This window comes from Homo sapiens, chromosome 1 (assembly GCF_000001405.40).
Source record: "Homo sapiens chromosome 1, GRCh38.p14 Primary Assembly".
Taxonomy (NCBI): domain Eukaryota; kingdom Metazoa; phylum Chordata; class Mammalia; order Primates; family Hominidae; genus Homo; species Homo sapiens.
The window spans coordinates 14,674,202-14,695,190 of record NC_000001.11 but is presented as its reverse complement, the minus strand read 5'-3'; the positions used below and the strand labels follow the sequence as shown (position 1 = coordinate 14,695,190).

Sequence of the window (20,989 nt, the reverse complement as noted above, 5' to 3'; positions counted from 1 at the left end):
TTTGGTTGTTCAATGAAGGGCAAAGCAATATGATAGCATCATTGCAGTAGAAAGTTCTAGAAAGATGTTCAAGGTATACACCTTGCCTGAAAGCCTCCCTGTCTAAGCTGAGAGAAGACAGAGATCCAATTAAGCTTCATCTTGGCAGACTTTGAAGTGAGCAGTCAACCCTTAGGGACAAGAGAGTAGGGACTGACCTCCAATTCCCAGCTTAAATGTGCCATCATTGGAGATGCCTTCCATGACCTCCGATATAAGGCAAATTTCCCCTGTAATATGTTCCCCTAACACCCTGTGCTTGCCCTTGTATAATATAGATTACACAGAAATTAGTTAATAACAAACCCAACAATTACCGAATGCCTCTTAAGTGTGTCATTTGCAGTGATGCATTGAGTCCTTTCAACAGCTCTGTAAGAAGGGCACCATTATTAGCCCCATTTTACAGAGGAGAAAACTGAGGCTCATGGAGGTGAAATGACTTTTCCCTAAGTCGCCCAGCCTATAAGTAGCAGAGTCAGGCTTCAAAGCCCAGATGATCTATTTCCAGATCCTGTACTCTGACACCAACTTTCCTCTGGCCAATGCCCCTTCCTCCTAGATGGTCATTTGATAAGAGCAGAAGATTCATCTTCTATGTTCATCCTTGTGTCTGTGGCACCTTGCATATTATACTTGGGAAGTGCTCATTAATGTTTGATGAATGAATAAATGAATGAATGAATGTTTCAGTTGAGGAGATCAACACAGACAGCTGAAGGCATGGAGATAGTCACATTTAGAATCCTGGATTCTTCAGCATGCCTGACTACCTTACCCTCCAACTTAAAAAAGTATTTTCTAGATGCAGTTTTCCTTCTTCCTTTTCTCGACATTCCAACTAAAGGGCACCAGGCCCATTGACCCTTCCTTGGCCAGTGACAGATGGGTGAGCTGAGGCAGCTGGGAGCTGCCTGAGTTGATCTCAGAGCTGATGAGGTGGAGGGGTCAGCTGAGAAGGCTGAAGCCGACTGTCGACCGAAAGGCACAGAGCTGGGCAGTGTTTTGCAGCTTCAGCACAGCAGAGGTCCTGCTTTTGGAGGGAGTCCGATAAACAACGGCCCCACAGCTTAACAGGATTGAAATATGATGCTATTCAAAGGGAATGTCAAAAGGATTAATAACCCATCTCCTTCTAGCTTGGTGCTAAAACCACACCACTGCCTCGAGTTAAAATCATGCTTAGACTGCATGCTACATTTTAAACCTTCTCCAGTAACAGACCATCATGGTCGCAGTGTGGGGCAGGCTCTCAGGACCCCTCTGTATGTTGTTACAATTCTCCAGTTCAGCCTTTTTAATGGGGGCTGAGCTGAGCGCCTGGAGAGCAAGCACAACTTAACATGCTGAACCTTGAAATACATATCTGGTCCCTTCCCTGAAACATACTTCCAGACTCGCCTCCAAACACCCAAGAAAAACGGGTGCCTCTGAAACTAAAGCAACAGTTACAGACCCTGTTGAATGACAGGTGACAAGTCTGGTGTAAGCTGAATCACGCACAACACACACTCATCCCACAGACGGTTTATGGAAGAAGAGGGAAGGTCAAGGGTAAGGTGATGGGCAAGATCTAAGTTTCTATACCAGCAGTGGTTAGACCGCCGTTTCAGGCAGTCCCACCCCATGACTCTGCTATGCTTTCCAGATTCAGGGTAAAACAACGTAAGACGAGTCCAGCATGAGCTGATTTAAGAATTTCCCTCTCTCAGCTTAGGATCCTCCTCTTCCAGGTGATGGCTCTCAACACGCAGGCTAGACCCAGAGACGCAATACCAACATTTAGAATGACAGCACTGTGGTTCCTTCCTCCTGGTGGGAAGATACAATTAATTCTGCTACCCCTCCCTTAGCATCCTGTTGCCGGGAGAAACAACTGCCTCCCTATCTCAGAAGGGGTTCTATTAAGAACGGCAAATGCGAAGGAGGTGATAAGGAGGCGGACAGTCCTTTTGTCCTATCCAAGTTGTCCGAAAGCCAAAACAACCTTGAGGACCACTGTCCCTGAAGAAGGCGAGACATAATCAGCCCTACTTAACAAATCAACATGGAGCTTTTGGACACCAAAGTCAAAGTCAAGGGTAGTTGCTTAGGGTCGAAGCAGGGACATATTTCCATTCCCTTTAAAAACGACCCCTGAGAAGACCAGAACTGGTCAAATTGCTATGAGGACCTGAATAAGAAACTGGTGTCTCTGCCTGTCCTTCGATTTCTTTGTTTTGAAACAGTCTTGCTCTGTCACCCAGGCTGAGGTGCAGTGGTGCAATCTCAGCTTACTGCAACCTCCACCTCCCAGATTCAAGCGATTCTCATGCCTCAGCCTCCCAAGTAGCCGGGTTTACAGGCATGTGCCACTACGCCTGGCTAATTTTTGTACTTTTAGTAGAAACAGGGTTTCTCCATGTTGGTCAGGCTGGTCTCCCAACTCCTGGCCTCAAGTGATCCACCCACCTTGGCCTCCCAAAGCATTGGGATTACAGGCGTGAGGCACTGCACCCAGCCTCTGCTCCTTCTTCTTGCAGTGCTCAAGGGACCACGGCCAACCCTTGCATGAGGCCAACCAAGATCAAGACTAGTGTGGTGAAGTGTGCAATCTTGTAAACCTTGAATGTAAATCTTAAATAACACCACGAGACCCATACGGAGTGCCACTAGTGATGCTGGAAGTGCTCCAAAGAAGCAAGGGAAAAGTCATGATATTACAAGAAAAAGTTGAATTGCTTGGTAATAGAGAGCCATCAGAGGTTTGCAGGTCGGTCAAAGAAAAACTGACGTATGGAAAAGAAGCAAAATAACAAGAAGAAAAGATCGAAAAAATGAGAGCCGAAGATGGTGAAAATTATGCCATTAAAAAGCAGGCAGAGATCCTACAAGAATCCCAGATGATGATCCCAGATTGCCAGCGCAGGTTGGAAGCTGCATATTTGGATCTTCAACAGATGTTAGAAAGTGAAAAAGACTTGGAAGACACTGAGGAATATAAAGAAGCACATTTAGTACTAGATTCGGTGAAGCTAGAAGCCTGAAACTTTTCTTGTACAGGGTGATGTTTGCATTAAATCCTGGGGCCCATTTTACAATTCATTATTTTATTTTTTTTTTTTACCACTACTGTGTGTTCAGGTAGTATAAGAATGTGATTGTTTTTATCCAGTTGCATATTTATTTCTTTGTCTAATTTAATACATAAAATAAATGAATTCATCGTAAAAAAAAAAAAAAAGGAAGAAATTGGCAGATAAGATAAGCTGTGATGAGCTCTGCTACCTGCTCAGGTGGCCTGGATCAGGTGCTTGCTGGATGGAGAGCAGGTGAGCTCTCCCTAAAGATAGGAAACAATGATGTTTAAAGATGAAGACAGGCCAGGCGAGGTTGTTTGGATTACGTCTGTAATCACGGCACTCTGGGAGGCTGAGGCGGGCAGATCACTTGAGGTCGGGAGTTTGAGACCAGCCTGGCCAACATGGCAAAACCCCGTATCTACTAAAAATATAAAAAGTAGCTGGGCGTGGTGGTGTGCACCTGTGATCCCAGCTACTCGGGAGGCTGAGGCAGGAGAATCACTTGAACCCAGGAGGCGGAATTTTCAGTGAACCGAGATTGTGCCACTGCACTCCGGGCTGGGCAACAGAATGAGACTCTGTCTCAAAAACAAACAAACAAAAAAAGATGAAGACAACAAAATCCCATAAACCTAGAGTTCATCTCTGTTAATACTGTTATTCTTTCATGCATGCACTGAAAGATGTCTGGAAAAATGAACATATGTATATATACATGTATAAATATATTTGTAGAGTTTGTGTGCATGTGTGTACATGTGTGGAATCATAGTGTACATACTGCTTGTATCTTACTGGGTTCACTTTCAATACATTGCAAGTGTAGTTAAGAAATCGACCACATAATACCAGGACACCTAAATATAAGATGCAAAGTCAGGAGATTTTTTTTTCCCCACCTGAAACTTAAAAGTACCGAGCCATCCATCAATAGTCAAAAATCCCCAAAGCTTTAAAAAATTTAACATTCAGTTAAATATCTAAGTCAGCGCTTGTTTAGTCAGCAGAGTAATCCCTAGTCATGACTGAAAAAGTATACATTTGCCTTTAATTGCCACATAATTATCTCTATACACCTGAGATAAAAATGTAAATTCAACATTAGGTATGAAAACATGCATTTGTTTTCCAAGTGGTCTTATCCAGCAAATGAATCTGCAAAATTAGGAAGAATAAGAATGGATCAGGAGTGAGGAACAATAAAACCAGGTATCTCAACATCTGTGAAAATCACAGCACATACCCTGGGTGAGGAGGGGCGGGGAGTGTAATTACACAAAACTAAGATAAACCACAGTGAGGTCTCCAGAGTCAGTCTTCTTGAATGAATTATGGATATTAGAGGTCTATCTAAGGCAAAGTTATTAAGGAGGTTTTATGGCTGGCATACAATAGTGGTCTGAATAAAAGCATCTTGTCCTGCTAAGAGCTTTGGATTTGTTTTAGAAGCAGCATTCCTTCTTGGTGAATGGCTCTGCCCCAAAGCAGAATGTGATCTTCCTCTTTGACTTAATAGAACTGGAAATGGGGGGAAGAGCATGAAAAAAAAACCCTTCCCTCTGCTGTCACCCCAAGTCAGTCATGTGAACCACCGATTGTTTTGGTGACAAGGAGGAGGACTGTCATTATGTGCCATTTCAGACTGGCCGCAGAGAACGCCCAGCTCGGTCTGCAGCGTGAATACATAAATGTGGTGAATCCTCTCTCTCCCTGACATCTACTTCAGCTTAGTGGCCTCCCTAAATCTGGGGCTCCCATGTAAAAACATCAGATGGGCCATCTCAGGTTCACTGTTATGTGGGATTGCACCAAGTACATGTTTTTATAGGGCCTTGTATATTACCAGCGCTTGAGAAATAAAAGACAAGGAAAAAAGCCAGCAGGACCGCAGATGCATGATTCATGATGAGCACTGCCGCGGCGGAGTGTGGCGAGTCTGCCGGATGAGATGTGCAGCCCGTCTTCATTTGTTCATGGAGGGCAGCCATTTACCTGATTGTAGGAGGTGACGGTGTTGACGCAGCAGGTTGCTTTGGCCATAAAGGGAGATTTCTGCAGCCTTAGAGCAGGGCTTAGGAACCCCAACCAGCTTATCCCGTGACTGATTCCCACAGAGAAGATGGAAACCCTGCAGGCACTCAGATGCCCCTTTCACTCTGTTAATTGGGAATAACCCTGGGAAATGATGTTCTTTTGCTCAGTGACACAGGTGCCTAGCTTTGCATGTAACATCTGTTTGGTCCTTGATGGTCTCCACGGGTCTCCTGCCATCTGAGGGTCTCACCACGCCCTCTGCCCCGGGACAAGATGAACACATCCCTGCCAGGGTCTAAGCAGCCCCTGAGGGGTGGGCTTCTCTAGCTTCGCAGCCCCTTGCCATCTGGGCAGGAGTTTCCATGACGCTTCTGGCAGCTAGCAGGGTAGTGCACCTGTTTCTTTTTTTCTCTTGGTCACTCTGGCTTTTCACTGGGAAAGTCACTCCTGATTCTTCCATCAGTGTCAACGGAATCCTGCCTAGGAGTAATCCAAACAGACCAATTCTCTTACACTTCATCTTGCAACCATCTAGTAAAACTCTCCAGCTGCCATAAACACAGGTGTTCCAAAGGTAAAGGTTTGCTGGGCTAGAGGGTATTTCCACCCCCATCAACATCCTCCGGCAGCTTTGTCCAGCATATGGAAGAGGCCTCTTCTACAATCAGGAGCGAATGGGAGAAAGACCCTCACGCCCTTTGTTAGTCATCACTTGGGTGGGAGTCACTGCCAGACAGAGGCAGGCCCTGAGTAGCTCTCTGTAAGTTTCATGAGATACTACAAACCAGACCCAGCATGGTTTTACCAATCAACTCTGTTTTGTTTTGTTTTGTTTTGTTTTGTTTTGTTTTGTTTTGTTTTGAGACAGAGTCTGACTCTGTCGCCCAGGCTGGAGTGCAGTGGCACGATCTCGGCTCACTGCAAACTCAGCCTCTCAGGTTCAAGGGATTCTCGTGCCTGAGCCTTTCCAGTAGCTGGGATTTCAGGCACGCACCACCATGTCTGGCTAATTTTTTGGATTTTTAGTAGAGATGGGGTTTTGTCATGTTGTCCAGGCTGGTCTCCAACTCCTGAGCTCAGGCAATCCGCCCACCTTGGCTTCCCAAAGTGCTAGGATTACAGGCGTGAGCCACCGCGCCCAGCCTTACCAATCAACTCTTACTGGCATTTTTAAAAAAGAAAAACTACATATGATTTTGTCCAAATTTGTCCTCTCAGCTGTGAAAGGGACTATGCATATTATTTGCCTTTTTCTCTGCATACAGAATAACAAGACAATACATCCGTGAATTAAAAGACAGCAGACACCTGACCATTCAGTGTCCTTGGCAAGGTTCTAGTACGTGTGCACTGAGAACTGTGGGCAATCATGTTGAGCTTTCTTCTTTTGCTAAGACTTCTCCCTTGAGAAGAAACAGAATTAAAGAATCCACAGAACAGCCCCTCCCTTGCTGCTGCTTTTGTACTTTTTACTTCATCGTGTTTTATACTTGCCCATGCCATATTCTAATTACCCACTTCCTGATAGATTTCTAACACAAGATGCTTGAGGGCAGAGGTCTCATTTTATCCTCCTTGATGTCTACCCCAGGGCAGATGCTGCCGGGCACGTGATGAGTGTGCATGCCTTCATTTTACAGTTTCAGACCCAGCACCTGCTGCCTGGCACAGGGAATACGGTGGTGAGCACAATCGATGCAGCCTCTGGAAGAACTTGAGAGGCCATCTAGCTCAACACTGTCTTTTAGTAAATGAGAAACAGGCCCAGCGAGGGAAAGTGCCCACAGTCACAGCTGGAACCAAACCCAATCTCAGGATCTTCCCTTCCATGGCCAGCTAGCTAGAACGCAACTTGGGAAATGGCAGCCTGTCTGTAACCCAGCTCTGTTGTGCCCAGAGGCTGGGTATGAAGACAGTAAAAGCAGAGGGGAGTGACATGGTGGCAGCAGAAAATTCCAGGAGTAGAGACGTCTAGGGCACGGGTGGGGGTAGAGCCAAACTATGACTGGCGTGTTCCTATATCAGAAGTGCATGCTGGGAACTTGTGACATCTTGTAGTCCATGTTGCAGGATGCCAAGCCCCTGACCACCCTGTGCCGTGGGCACTGGGCACCACTGAGCCACAGCACAAGTTGCTGGTGTGGGTCCAGTGCACGGACTTTGGTCTCCATGTTGAAAATGAAAAAGAATAATTCTTGCCTCCTGGGTTTGCATAATTAAAACTGCAGAACAGAATTTGCCTATCAACGTGAGCCCCATGAAAGTGCACAGAAAACTCTTAAGATATGATTCATTATTGCCCCGATAAATCATCCGAGTCCCCTGCTTCCCACTTGCAGCTACATTTCATGCTGTAAAGTGCAGGTACAGCTAGTGACGACTCACAGAGTCACATCCCAGTTCCTTGGCAAGATCCACTGACTGGCATTTGTTTACAGACTTATCCTCCCCCCTTGTGTCTTACACGCTGGCCTGGAAAGTTCTTCTAATGCACCTCTGGACTCTTTGCTGGGGCCTGGGCTGCCCAGAGCACACACGCTTTTCCCCCTCTCCACTTGCCTCATCCAGCCTCATCTTCCCCATCTCAGTTCCCTTGTGACCACCTATGCATATCCTTCTTTACTACACCTCCCTTGGAGCCGCAGAAGCTGTCCCCTCTCTGGGCTCCTCCAGTTCTCTGAGTTCACCTCTCTCATTGCACTGACCAATGCTTGTTGACGTCATCTCTCTGTTCCAGCAAAGGGGTGCATCTTAGTTCTGTGCCCACAGTGCCTAGCCCAGGGCCAGTCACAGCAGGTGCTTAATACATGGTGAGTAAACATGGTCCATGACTTCCTCGACCCAGCCTTATGGGGGCTGCCATTTTAATACAGAAGTAATTATCATACCAGCCAACCAGCCACCTCAGTGAAAATAAGGGAGGGTACCTTGAATGCTGGTAACCATAGTATAAGTTGGTCAATTTTTCATTCAGAGGGGAGCAAGTGCAGCACACCAGCCACCCCCACATTAGTGTCCTGACAGGTCTCCAGGCAGCTGTTATGGATCTAGCCCTCCTAGGGAAAGGTTTGTTTCCCAGCCGCCTCTGCAGGGAGCACCATGAAAACAGAAGAAGAAACCCAGCCAGCCCAGGGCGTTAATAGCTTGGTTAATAAGCTCTGTATCAGTGAAGGCTTTTCCCTCTTTCTGAACAATAGAATTCCAGAGGGAGCCTAGGCCCAGGGACTCAGGGCTGAAATGGAAGCCTTGGGCCATGCAGCCCCACCGCAAATGTTCTGTGTGGATGTTTGATTCCTGTGGCTGTCGTAGTCCCAGAGGTACAGAGGTCTCTGAGAAGCCAGGGCCAGTGCCAGGCCCTTCTCCTCTGGGCTTCCCGCTACACCCGATATTAGGCAAAGCTGAGGGAGGGTGCCTAGAGTTTCTGCTAGGTCGCTTTTGCCAGAAGGTGAAGGGTCAGGCTGATTTTGCTATGATTTTCAGGTGTTCCCACAGTCCATTAAGAAGCAATGATGTTCATTGTAAAAATAAGTTAAGAAAAGTAGAATAAAGACATAATTTCTCTTTTTCCATGAAGGAATTCTCTCAAGTTGGAGAGGCGAGGGGACCACATATATCTGCCTTGAATCCCTCCCAGCAATGTGGGATGGTATCAGCTCTAGAAATTCCAGTACGATCTTCAAGAGTGGCAGACTGGGCTGGGCGTGGTGGCTCACGCCTGTAATCCCAGCACTTTGGGAGGTCGAGGCAGGTGGATCATGAGGTCAAGAGACAGAGACCATCCTGGCCAACATGGTGAAAACCCATCTCTACCAAAAATACAAAAATTAGCTGGGTGTGGTACACGTCTGTAGTCCAGCTACTCGGGAGGCTGAGGCAGGAGAATCACTTGAACCCAGGAGGTGGAGGTTGCAGTGAGCTGAGATCACGCCACTGCACTCCAGCCTGGCAACAGAGAGAGACTCTGTCTCAAAAAAACAAAACAAACAAAAGAGTGGCAGACTGAGGCTGATGGAGGTTGTGTAGGACAAAAAGAGGAAGACATTCAAATTCAAGTTCTGCCATCTACTCACTGCAGGACCTGGGGGAGTTTACTCCATCTCTTTGGGCCTCAGTTTCTTCACCAATGATCAGTAAAATGGGAATAATACCCATCCCACGGAGTTATGGGAATTGAATACACACGTGCGCACACACACAGAAGCCATAGCTGTAATTTATCATCTATGAGTTCCAGCTGGGGATTCTCTAAAGTGAGTGAGAAACAACTACTCTTTCTAGAGTTCTGTGGTTCCTTATCCTCTGCCACCATCTTTTATAGTTGTCTTGACCGTATCTAACTAAACAGCATTTCTCCCAAAGCAATTGACTCCTAACAAGTTTTCACCTTAGTTTCATTAAATAACAGTACAACTGGCATACACAGGCTTGAAACTAACCACAAGTGACTCTGAGCAGGCGAACGATTTGACTGCAAGAGCAGAGATGCTCAGGCAGGTGCTGAGCCGAATGCCGCCAAGAGCATTTGGAGGCCCTGGTCCTCTGTAGAAGACACTGCCAATCCTCTGCCCATGTCCCCTGGCCCTCAGTACATGGGTGCACATTGGCCTGACTTCTAGCTACCACTGCCCGCATTTCTTCATCTGAGGCCTTCCCCTCCTGCTGGAGCTCAGCCTGCCACCTGTACATCAGACCAGTGGCACAGAATTGTGGGAAGTTCCCATACCAACGACTGATGGGAATTGGTGTATAAATACCCCAGCTCCCTCACCCCTAAGGTTGTGTAGCTCTGAAGCATGCTCTATACCAGCTCCCAGAGTTTCTCCGGCAGGATTAAGCTCCATTCTCCCAGTGGGAGCTGGCATGGAAACTCACCCTTGAGTGGCTGCCTTCCCTTTCATATCTCACTTTCCTGAGGCCCTACTGGTGTTCTGGCATCTTTCAGATAAACTATTTGTTCTTGAATCCTTGTCTCAGAATTTGCTTCTGGTGGAACCCAAACTAAGAGAGCCTCAGATACGAGTTTTACTCTCGGGATGGAGCACATAGGACAATATGGCACTTCAGTTACATGAATGTCACCATGTACACAATCCCATCTGTGGTAGCCTGTATAATGGCCCCCAAAGATGTCCCCATCCTAAATCCCCAGAAATTACAAATATGTTACCTTGCATAGTATTTAAAAGGGACTCTGAAAATGGGATTCAGGATCTTTAGGTGGGGAAATGATCCTGGGTTATCCAGGTGGGCCTGATGTCATTGCAAGGGTCCTGATAAGATGAGTGCAGGAGAAGTCAGACTGGGAGGAAGGCCATGTGACAACAGAAACAGAGGCAAGCAGAGTCAGAGAGAGAAGATGCTACACTGTTGGCTTTGAAGATAGGAAGGGGCCACAAGCCAAGGAAAACAGGCAGCCTCTAGAAGCTAGAAAGAGCGAAGAAACATCTCTCCTGGAGCCTCTAGAAGGAACCAGCTCTGCCAACACTTTGCCTTTAGCCCCATAAGACTCAGTCCACACTTCTGGCCTCCAGAACCATAAAAGAATAAATTTGTGTTGTTTCAAGCCACCTGGCTTGTGGTGATGTGCCACAGCAGCCACAGGAAATGAACACACCAACCAACCCTTGCATCATGTAGTAGTGGGCAGGATTTATCCCCATTTTGCAGATGGGAAAAACGGCATTCAGGGTGAAATAGCTTGCTCCTGAGGTCAAAGAACCCATGAGTGGTGGAGCTGGGATCAAACTTGGTCTGTGCAACCCTAATACCAATCAAGTATCCTCTGCCCACAGCCCCAACGCTGATTCCACGAGGTAAACCTGCAAAGCCACTGCCCTGAGATTGGTATTCCTGGAGTCTACAATGTCCATGAAAAGGCTCAACAAAAAAGCAAGCACATCAAGCCTTGTGAAGATGATAAGAGACACTTATAGGAGCTTGATACGGGGCCAGGGCTTAGCTTGGTACCTGAGTAATAAAACTCTGCGTAGACAGCCCAAGCCCAAGACAGCCTCCCTAATTCTATTCTAGAATAAAGTGGGATAGACAAGGTACTGGAGTACAACTCTTGTTGTATTTCAGAAGAAATACAAATACTCCAGTGCATAAGAAAAATGGAATTGCTGCTGAAATATCATTCAAGAATCAGTGTGTATTGCACTGAACTCCTACTATGTGCTAGGTAGGGGCTAGATGCCGAGGATCCAAAAAATAATAACTAAGAAGAAATAATGGCTGTCTCAGCAATGCTGAGGATACAGGGTGGAGAGGAAGCACGCACTGCACAGCACTAATGAGGATACTACAGGATGTGCACTATGCTTCTAAGTTTGGGAACCTTTCCTGAGGATCTCCTTGGTACCAGATAGGGGGGCTGGGAGCTGGGGAGAAGATGAGACAGTCCCTGCTTTAACAGAGCTGATACTCTAATGAGGTTAATAAATGGGTCGTGAATAAGTGACACGCAATGTGCATCCATTTATCATTTATTCATTGACTGCATTCAGTGTGTCAACACCATGTCACAGGGGCTGGAGTGGAGAAAACGTAGGGGAAGCAGTGGAGGCTGGAAGGAGAGAGTGGTCATTGGAGGGTCCAAGAATGCCTAATAGCATCTTGAGTTGAGGTTGAAAGGCTCAGTAGGAGCCCCCGGAGGAGAATGGGTGGAATATCTTTGCACTTCATCTCTGCAGTCACGTCCCATTAATATAATTCGTGTGTTTGACCTACGCATCTTCTTTGAGACAGGCTGTAACTCTCAAATTCGAGCAACTGAGTTTTAATTACGACCTTTATTGTTTCCTTGCACTTCTGGAGCGACTCAGCACCCAGGCAATTAACTCCGCCTGTTTTTATCAGGGTCGTTCCTACCACTGAGACTCTTGGCAGCTTCCAGTTCCTGGGAAGGCACTGAGGGTCAGAGTCTAAATGGCTTTCAGCTCACATTTCCCATCCCATCACGCTGTCAGCAGGCGCCTCCTCTCATATCTGATAGGGAACTCGCACTATGTCAGATATGACAAATAAGGCTTTAAAACAGCCAAGGGAAATATAAACAAAGAGATCTACTTTTCAGACTCTGGTAGGAACTGAAGCTCTTGAAAAAGAAAAGGAGAGAGGATTTTTAACAGACTTCCTGGGAAACCAGTTCAAATGGGAGAGAAGAGCTGCCAGTGGCAGCTGCTGATCCTGTATGTGTCCATCTCTTACAATAAAAAGATGGTAGCATCTACCTTGTGTGGACTTGTTTGCATTTAAAGACCTCCTGGGTCTAGAGTGTCATGAGCATTAACAGGTAAATATGTGAGGAAGGGAAGAATTTATAGTTTAGGGCAAGGTAATTCCACGTTCCTTTAAAAACTCTGTTTTCTTTTAGAATACATTTTTTTTTCCATTAAAAATATAACAACAAAATGTGGTCTCTATATACAATGGGATATTACTCTGCCTTAAAAAAGAAGGGAATTCTGGCCAGGCATGGTGCCTCATGCCTGTAATCCTAGCACTTTGGGAGGCTGAGGCAGGAGCATCACTGGAGCCCAGGAGTTTGAGACCAGTATGGGCAACAGGGAGATCCTGTCTCTACAATGAATTTTTAAAAATTAGCCAGGCATGGTGGTATATGCCTGTGGTCCCAGCTACTCAGGAGGCTGAGGCTGGAGGATTGCTTGAGCCCAGGAGGTCGAGGCTGCAATGTGTCATGATTATGCCACTGCACTCCACCCTGAGCAACCGAGCAAGACCCTGTCTTAAAAAAAAAAAAAAGGAAATTCTGACCCATGTCTTAACCTTGAAGGTATTATAAGTGAAGCCAGACAGTCACAAAAGAACAATACTGTATGATTCACCTGCTACGAGTTACCCAGAGCAGTGAAATCCATAGAGAAAGGGAGTAGAATGGTGGATGCCAGGGCCTGGAAGGAAGGGGGAATGGAGAGTTAGTGTTTAATGGGGATAGCTGCTCTTTGAGAAGATGAAAAACGTTCTGGAGATGGATAGTGATGATGGTTGCGCAACAATGTGGATGTAACTTAATGCTGCTGAACAATACATTTAAAAATAGTTAAAATGGGCCGGGCGCGGTGGCTCACGCCTGTAATCCCAGCACTTTGAGAGGCTGGGCGGATCACGAGGTCAGGAGATCGAGACCATCCTGGCTAACATGGTGAAATCCTGTCTCTACTAAAAATACAAAAAATTAGCTGGGTGTGGTGGCGGGCGCCTGTAGTCCCAGCTACTCGTGGATGCTGAGGCAGGAGAATGGCAGGAGAACGCCTCCCGGGAGGCGGGAGGCGGAGCTTGCAGTGAGCCAAGATTGCGCCACTGCACTCCAGCCTGGGCGACAGAGCGAGACTCCGTCTCAAAAAAAAAAAAAAAAAAAAAAAAAAAAAAAAAAAAATATATATATATATATATATATATATATATATATATATATATATACACATATACATATATATATAGTTAAAATGGCAAATTTTATGTTATGTCTATTTTACCACCATTAAAAAAAATGTAGCAACTGCAAATGCCACTTTCAAGCTGAAAATGGAGTTTTGGAGCTCAAAAGAATTACAGTCATGAGTTGGTCTGTCCAGAGTTTCTGAAATGTCAGTGTTGGGCTGGCTGCAATGAGTCACCCACGGGCAACCTCACCATTCCAGTCCTAGATATTTACCCAGGAGAAATGAAAACATATGTCCACAAAAAGACTTGAACACAAATGTCCATAGTAGCTTTACTCCGAGTAGCCCAAACTGGAAACAATCCAAGTGTCCATCAATAGGAGAATGAATAGATAAACTGTGGCATAGCCACATGATATAGTGTAGGTATTTGTCCCCACCCAAACCTCATGTTGCGATGTAACCCCCAGTGTTGGAAGTGGGGCCTGGTGGGAGGTGTTTGGATCATGGGGGCGGATCCCTCAGGAATGACTTGGGCAGCCCCCTTGATGATGAGGGAGCTCCCCTTCTGAGTTCACAGGAGATCTAGTGGCTTGAAATGTGTGCCACCTCCTGCTAATTCTCTCTCTTGCTCTTCCTTTTGCCTGTAACGTGCCTGTTCCCTCTACATCTTCTGCCATGACTGTAAGCTACCTGAGGCCCTCCTCAGAAGCCAAGCACGCCAGCACCATGCTTCTTGTAGAGCCTGCAGAACCAGGAGCCAATGAAGGCTCTTTTCTTTCTAAATTACCGAGTCTCACGTATTTCCTTACAGCAATGCAACAACAGCCTAAAACACACCATACCATGTAATACTCCTCAGCTACAAAATGAATGAACTACTGAAACACACAACAACTTAGATGAATCTCAAACTAACACAGGAACAGAAAACCAAACACCACATGTTCTCACTCATAAATGGGAGTTAAACAATGAGAACACACGGACATAGGGAGGGGAACATCACACACCGGGGCCTGTTGGGAGTTGGGAGGCAAGGGGAGGGACAGCATTAGGACAAATACCTATTCTGTGGGGCTTAAAACCTAGGTGACGGGTTGATGGGTGCAGCAAACCACCATGGCACATATATACCTGTGTAGCAAACCTGCACATTCTGCACACGTATCCCAGAACTTAAATAATAAAAAAAAATATTTTGCTGAGTGAAAGCAGCCCAACATAAAAGTACACATACTCTAGGATCCACGTAGATAAAGTTCTAGATCAGGCAAAACTAATCTATACTGATAGAACTCAGAGCCATAGCTGCAGGAGTAGGGGGAGGGCTACGTAGGAACGGACTGGGAAGGAGCACAAAGGCGTTTTCCAGGATGAGGGAAAGATTCCGTGTCTTGGTAGGGGTGTGAATTACCATCAGTGTATGCACTTGTCAAAACTCATCAAACCGTACATTTAAGATCTGTGCATTTCACTGTATGTGAATCATACCGTAATTTTTTTAAAAAGATAATTTTAAAAAGAGTCACTCAGGGAATTTAATTAAAAATATCACCTCCCAGAGAGATTCTGGTTTAGTAGGTCTGGAGTGGGGGCCCAGCATCTGCCGGCTTTAAACATTCCACAGGCGAGTTGCATGGTCAGCTGTGCCCCAGCCACCTTCTCCCTCTTGTCCTGTTGGTCTCAAAGCCTTTCCTTCCTCACTGCATCCTTCACCCTTGACACAAGTGGTGCCTCCTTGAGCCTTAGCCACAAATCACTCCTCACTTATTATGCTCAACAAGACAAGACCGAGACAGGAATGAGATTCTGAGGCGCCCCAGTGGTGGAGCATGACTGTCTGGGTTCAAAACCTGATGCCTATCCGACTAGCCAAGTGACCTTGGGCATGTTTCTTACCTCTCTAAGCCTCAGTTTCCCTATCTGAACAATGGGGATGCTGCTGTCACTAGTACCTACCTCACAGGGCAAATGTGAGGATTTAAAAGGTCAATACAAACACGTAAGGCACCTGATTGGTCATGTTTTTTATTTTCTAGAGTTTACAATGCTTGGACATCTTGGTGCCTTTCAGACCTGGGGAGGGAGTGTTAGTTCCTAGAGACAGCAAACAACCTGCCTGTGAACGCACCTTTGCTATGCAAATCAACCAATCCGGAACCCACAGCCCCTACCACTGCCTTTATCAAACTGTCACATACCAAACCAATATTCCCCCTACCCCATATCACCCCAGGGCCAGGCATTCAACAAAAAGGGACCACCCCTGCACCCCAGAGCTCAACTAAGTTATTCAAACAATCCAATCCTAAACTTACTTGGTGTACTTACTCTGCCTTGCCTATTCCTTCCAAAAAAAAAAAGACCCAACAAAAGCTCTGGCCCAGGCTTTCCCCTTGCCTCCTTCAGCCTGCTAACCGACCCTGGTACTTCCTCATGCGGCCCTACATGGCCTGGCCTGCCCGCTTCTCTTGAGAACTGTAAGTAACAAACTATATTTTCAACGGTAATTGTCTCTTGATTTATGGACTTCACCATACCCGAATAAAGGCAAAATTCCAGGTACATTTTATACAAGCGTGACGAGTGTCTGGCACATAGTAGGCTTGCAAAAGGTAAAGTCTGTGCATTAACAGAAACATTTGCTGCTTTTTCACAGCATTTACCACAATCTGTAATTATACGTTTTTGGGATTATGTAATTAATCTCTGGTTCCCTCACTAACCTGTAAGCTCCAAAAAGGTGAGGCTGATGCCCTTTTTCGGTCCTATTATATCCCCATCTATATATCCCCTATTACATACGGGATATATTACATAAGGGCTATATTATATCCACCATTATATCCCCATCCCCTTGCTGAGAGCCAGGCAAAGAGTAGGGCCATAGCAAAGGCTTGCTGAGTAAAGGTGGACTCACTGGTTTTGCAGTTTAACACCATCTGTAGTAAATAATGAAACCTGAGCCTGAGAGGGGAAGGGGCTCGCCCTGCATCAAACAGCCCATGGGAGCTGGAGCTAAGGTGCTATATTAGTCAGGGTTCTCTAGAGGGATAGAGCTAATAGGCATATGTATATACAAAAGGGACTTTATTAAGGAGAATTGACTCACACGATCACAGGGTAAAGTCCCACGATAGGCCGCCTGCAAGCTGAGGAGCAAGGAAGCCAGCAGTGGCTCGGTCCAAGTCCCAAAACCTCAAAAGTAGGGAAGTCAACAGTGCAGCCTGCAGTCTGTGGCCAAAGGCCCGAGAGCCCCTCGCAAACCACTGGTGTTAAGTCCAAGAGTCCAAAAACCTAAGAACTTGGAGTCTGATGTTCGAGGGTAGGAAGCCTCCAGTACGGGAGAAAGATGAAGGCCGGAAGACTCAGCAAGTCAGCTTCTTCCACCTTCTTCTGCCTGCTTTTTCTAGTCGCGCTGGCAGCTGATTGGCTAGTGCCCACCCACCCTGTGGGTGGGTCTTCCTGAGGGCAGGTCTTCCTCTCCCAGTCCACTGACTCAAATGTTAATCTCTTCCGGCAACACCCAGAAACAATACTTTGCATCTTCAGTCCAATCCAGTCGACACTTAATTTAACCATCAGAGGTGCCAGAGCCCCTTGCCTCTCAGTCCCTTCTGCCACACCAGACAGTCACTCCCAATTCTGGGGTCAGACTTCGTAGGGCATGAGGAGCAGCTCAGGGCCCCCAAACAGCCCATTTCTGCACAAGCTATCTGTGTTTTCTCCGTAAAGCACACATACCAGCTGCATGGACACCTGGGAGGTTCTGGGACCTCCCCTGAGGGGCTGCTGTACTCTGCATACCCCATTGACAGTTACAGAGTTTTCTGTCTCCACTCAGCAGCTTTTTGATATACTGGTGCAGACCCTGGCTATTCTGGACTTAGCAGGCCACATCCTCGGTCTCTCTTCACAGATGGGAGCAGGCTCAAGGGAATCCCATCAATAAATAATTCCCAAGGCCTGGAAGTGTCCTCCTCTCCACATGATGTGATTGCAAAGCTGATTTTCAACCCTTCCCAGAGGAACCCTGGGATGGTCTTCCTAAGCCTCTGGGTAGGTGCCTGTCATCGCCAAGGTCTGAAAATGGGCCCCTGGGGTGTCTTAGAGTCTGTCATCACCTCTCAGAATTCTTGGAGTCCACTCTTACCCCACAGGCCAAAGAGACCACTGGCTAGTCTCATGGGTGAGTCACTCATGAGCCAGTCAATTTCTACAGCTTGGAAGGTTCACTTACACTGACCAGGCAGATATTTCTGCCTTTCCAATGGGAGTCTTGGGTATCACCAGTGAAGTCCTAAGAACCATTTTAAGTTAAACAATGGCTAGGTCTCCAAAAAATAAGTTATATCATTATCCCTCAGAAGCCCTTGAAGTGAGATAGCAGCATGGGATAATGGGAAGGGTCTAGGCTTTGCGGTCCAGGCAGCCCCTTAATAGCCCTGTAACCTGTAACCTTGATCATGGGCCTTCACTTCTCTAATCCTCGGTCTTCTTTACAAAACAAAGATGACACAAAGAGAGGTATGCACTGCTCTTGTCATACTGCTGGGCACACAGTTGGCACTAAATAAATGCTAGAATATGAAGAGGATGCTGTTGATGATGGTAACACTCCAATGCTATGGATCCTATAGCTTACTCAGTCCTTTCCTATATGTGTGTTAATTTTATTATTGTGATATAATACTTATACCCTAAAATTCACCCTTTTAAAGTATACAATTCAGTGGTTTTTAGTATACTCACAAAGTTCTGCAACCATCACTACTCCATAATTCCAGAACATTTTCATCAGCCCCAAAAGAAACTCTATCCCTATTAGCAGTCACTCCCCATTCTCCCCTCCCCATAGCTCCTGGCACCCACCAATCTGCTTTCCAACTCTATGGATTTGCCTGTTCTGGACATTTCATATAAATGGGATCATACAATATATGGCCTTTTGTGTCTGGCTTTTTCCCTTTAGCATGATGTTTTCAAGGTTCATCCATGCTGTGGCATGAATCACTGCTTCATTCCTTTTCACTGCCGGATAATACTCCGTTGTATGGATATACCACATTCTGTTTACCCACTCATCAACTCATGGACATTTGGGTTGTCTCCACTTTTTAGCTCCCATTCATTATTTTATTCAGTCTTTACAACCTTCCCTGCAGGAGGACAGAGCAAGCATCATCTTTTCTATCACAGAGACGGGAACTGAGGCTCAGGGACGTGAAGTGGCCTCCCTAGGTAAGGCTGCTTAGCTGGCTAGACACAGGCTAGGGAATCAAAGTCGATCCTCCTAACCTCAAGCTCAATGTCTCTGGGTTAGACAAGAAGGACCTGACATTTTGCATATAGAGGGAATCCAACAGAATATGACAGATCATTTCAGCTTGGCCTTGCAGGCAGGGGAAGGAGTGTAATTAAAGATCATCTTCTTGGTAATCCCAGTAGGGAGTCAACAGCTAATTCAAAGTGGATCAATGCCAGCATCCGAGGAGGGAAAACAGCTCTTTCAAACCGGAAAAAAAACCAGGAACAACCAAATCTCATCCCTGGGTCTTTTCCTGAGGATTCTCAAGTTGCAGGTGCTGGTCACTCTCCCCCTTCATTCCCAACACGTCCGGTCAGCATCTCCTTCACCTCCCCTATATTTTGGCCCCTTTTTCAGATGTCCTGTGCTTAGACTTGGAGGGGGCCAACCATACTCGGGGTGTAGAGCAGGGCCAAAGGGAAAGTCACTGCCACTCAGAGCAACAGAAAATGAAAATAATCCACAAGGCAAGAGGGGACTCTCTATTCTATCAAACACAGGGCCAGAAGGTTCTCTGAGAACAACCTTGGCTATTCCCCCAAAGTCCCCATTTCTCAAGCAATGAACAAACAATTATTGAGCACGTACTTTTACTTAACATCCACTCCCCAGAATATTTACTGTGTATCTACAGGGTATCAGGCATGGAATGATTAGAAGAAGACCGAGTTCAGCTCTGAAATGTAAGTTCTAATGATGGAGATGGGTAATAGGCATGCCAAAAAAGAGAAAACAGGACATAATAAAGAAATGAGATGGTAGATTGGAGTGGGGAGAGGCAGGTGGGGGATATCAGCCTCCTGCCCTCCTTGACTGGATGCCACACACTTGTCCAGGCACTGAGGACACAGGCATGAAAGACCCAGGAGAATCTTCCAAGTAGAAGGACAAACATTGCAAAAAATAGCAGTGAAAATAAGAGGGAAATATTTTCAAAGAGAACACCCCCAAGTGCCCTGGAGCTCATTTCCTACCAGATGTCTGAGGGTTGCCCTGCGGGCCCTCTCCTGATGCTGAGTATCCCAGACGCACTCTGAGAACTTGACTTCCAGTTCAACAGTCAGTTCAACCCAATCCTACTTCAAGTTCAACGTCAGACAACCCCATCCTGCTGCCCTCTTGGTGTGAAGGCAGTGGGGCCTGGTGGCAGCCTGTGGCTCTTGCTCCAGGCAGCCAGGACATCCTTGGTAGGAGGAATAAACCAGCTGCCCCAATGTGCCACACCAAACAGTGTAGTCACATCTAAATAACTAACACCACGAGACTGACCTCAATGCCAGCACAGGGCACCTCGGAGTGAGGGAATGTGGGAGCCTTGAAGATAAAATTATCCTGACCAACCTGGGCAACACAGTAAGATTTTGTTCCTACAAAAATAAAATAAAAATAGCTGGGTGTGGTGGTGCGTGTCTGTAGTCCCAGGTGCTCAGGAGGCTGAGGTGGGAAGATGGCTTTAACCCAGGAGTTCGCAGCTGCAGTGAGCTATGATTGCACCACTACACTCCAGCCTGGGCAACAGAATGACCCAGTCTTAAAAAAAAAGAAAAGAAAAGAAAAGAAAACAAGATAAAATTGCATTGGGCACATCTGGAGATAAAATGATTTCCAGTTAATTTTCCTTTTAAACTGAATCTCTGTCTACTTTCAGCTACAGGACCCAGTTACACTGCCAAAGAAACATCAATAGCAGCATCCCAGAGTGAACAAGGACAAGTGGTCAAGACATTTGGCCTTTGTCCTCCGCTTAAGCTTAGAAGTGCCTAACTCGTCCTGGTGAGTGGCAAGGTCTAGGGTTGCATGAATAAAATCTACCTGGGGAAGGTAGCATGTATCCCTGAAGAAGGTGGAGAGTATTACAGGGGAGGTGTGTAAGCCACTAAGCACTCATCTGGCATGTAGAAAGTGCCCCTTCCTTCCAGGAGCCCAGGGTGACCTTTGCTTTCAGCAACGAGTCCACTAAACTGATCAAATCCTCAACAGAGCTGGTTCATGGTTCTTTTGGTGACCACAGCTGCATTTAAGAGCAAATGCATCTCACAACTTTGCAGGAAAGATCTTCTTGGCATAAAACAGGGCTCACTTTCAGTTCTGCTGTTGACTTTCAATGCCACCTAATTTAGATACAAAAAAAGAGATCT

At 46.2% G+C, this 20,989-nt stretch overlaps 1 protein-coding gene and 1 pseudogene across 11 annotated transcripts in view, besides 1 other annotated feature; one reads left to right on the top strand and one right to left on the bottom strand.

The window, feature by feature from the left end:
- KAZN (kazrin, periplakin interacting protein) overlaps nt 1–20,989 on the bottom strand; it is a 1,225,220-nt gene that overhangs the window by 422,853 nt on the left and 781,378 nt on the right. The window lies entirely within an intron of this gene.
- On the top strand, nt 2,791–3,254 carry TBCAP2 (tubulin folding cofactor A pseudogene 2; annotated as a pseudogene).
- Nucleotides 16,874–17,038: a silencer, noted in NCBI's record as "fragment chr1:15004649-15004813 (GRCh37/hg19 assembly coordinates)". NCBI's record gives its function as "represses an EF-1alpha promoter that drives an FKBP-Casp9 reporter gene in an ReSE screen in phorbol 12-myristate 13-acetate-treated (for megakaryocytic differentiation) K562 erythroleukemia cells {active_cell/tissue: K562(+PMA)}" and the evidence as "EXISTENCE:reporter gene assay evidence [ECO:0000049][PMID:32094911]".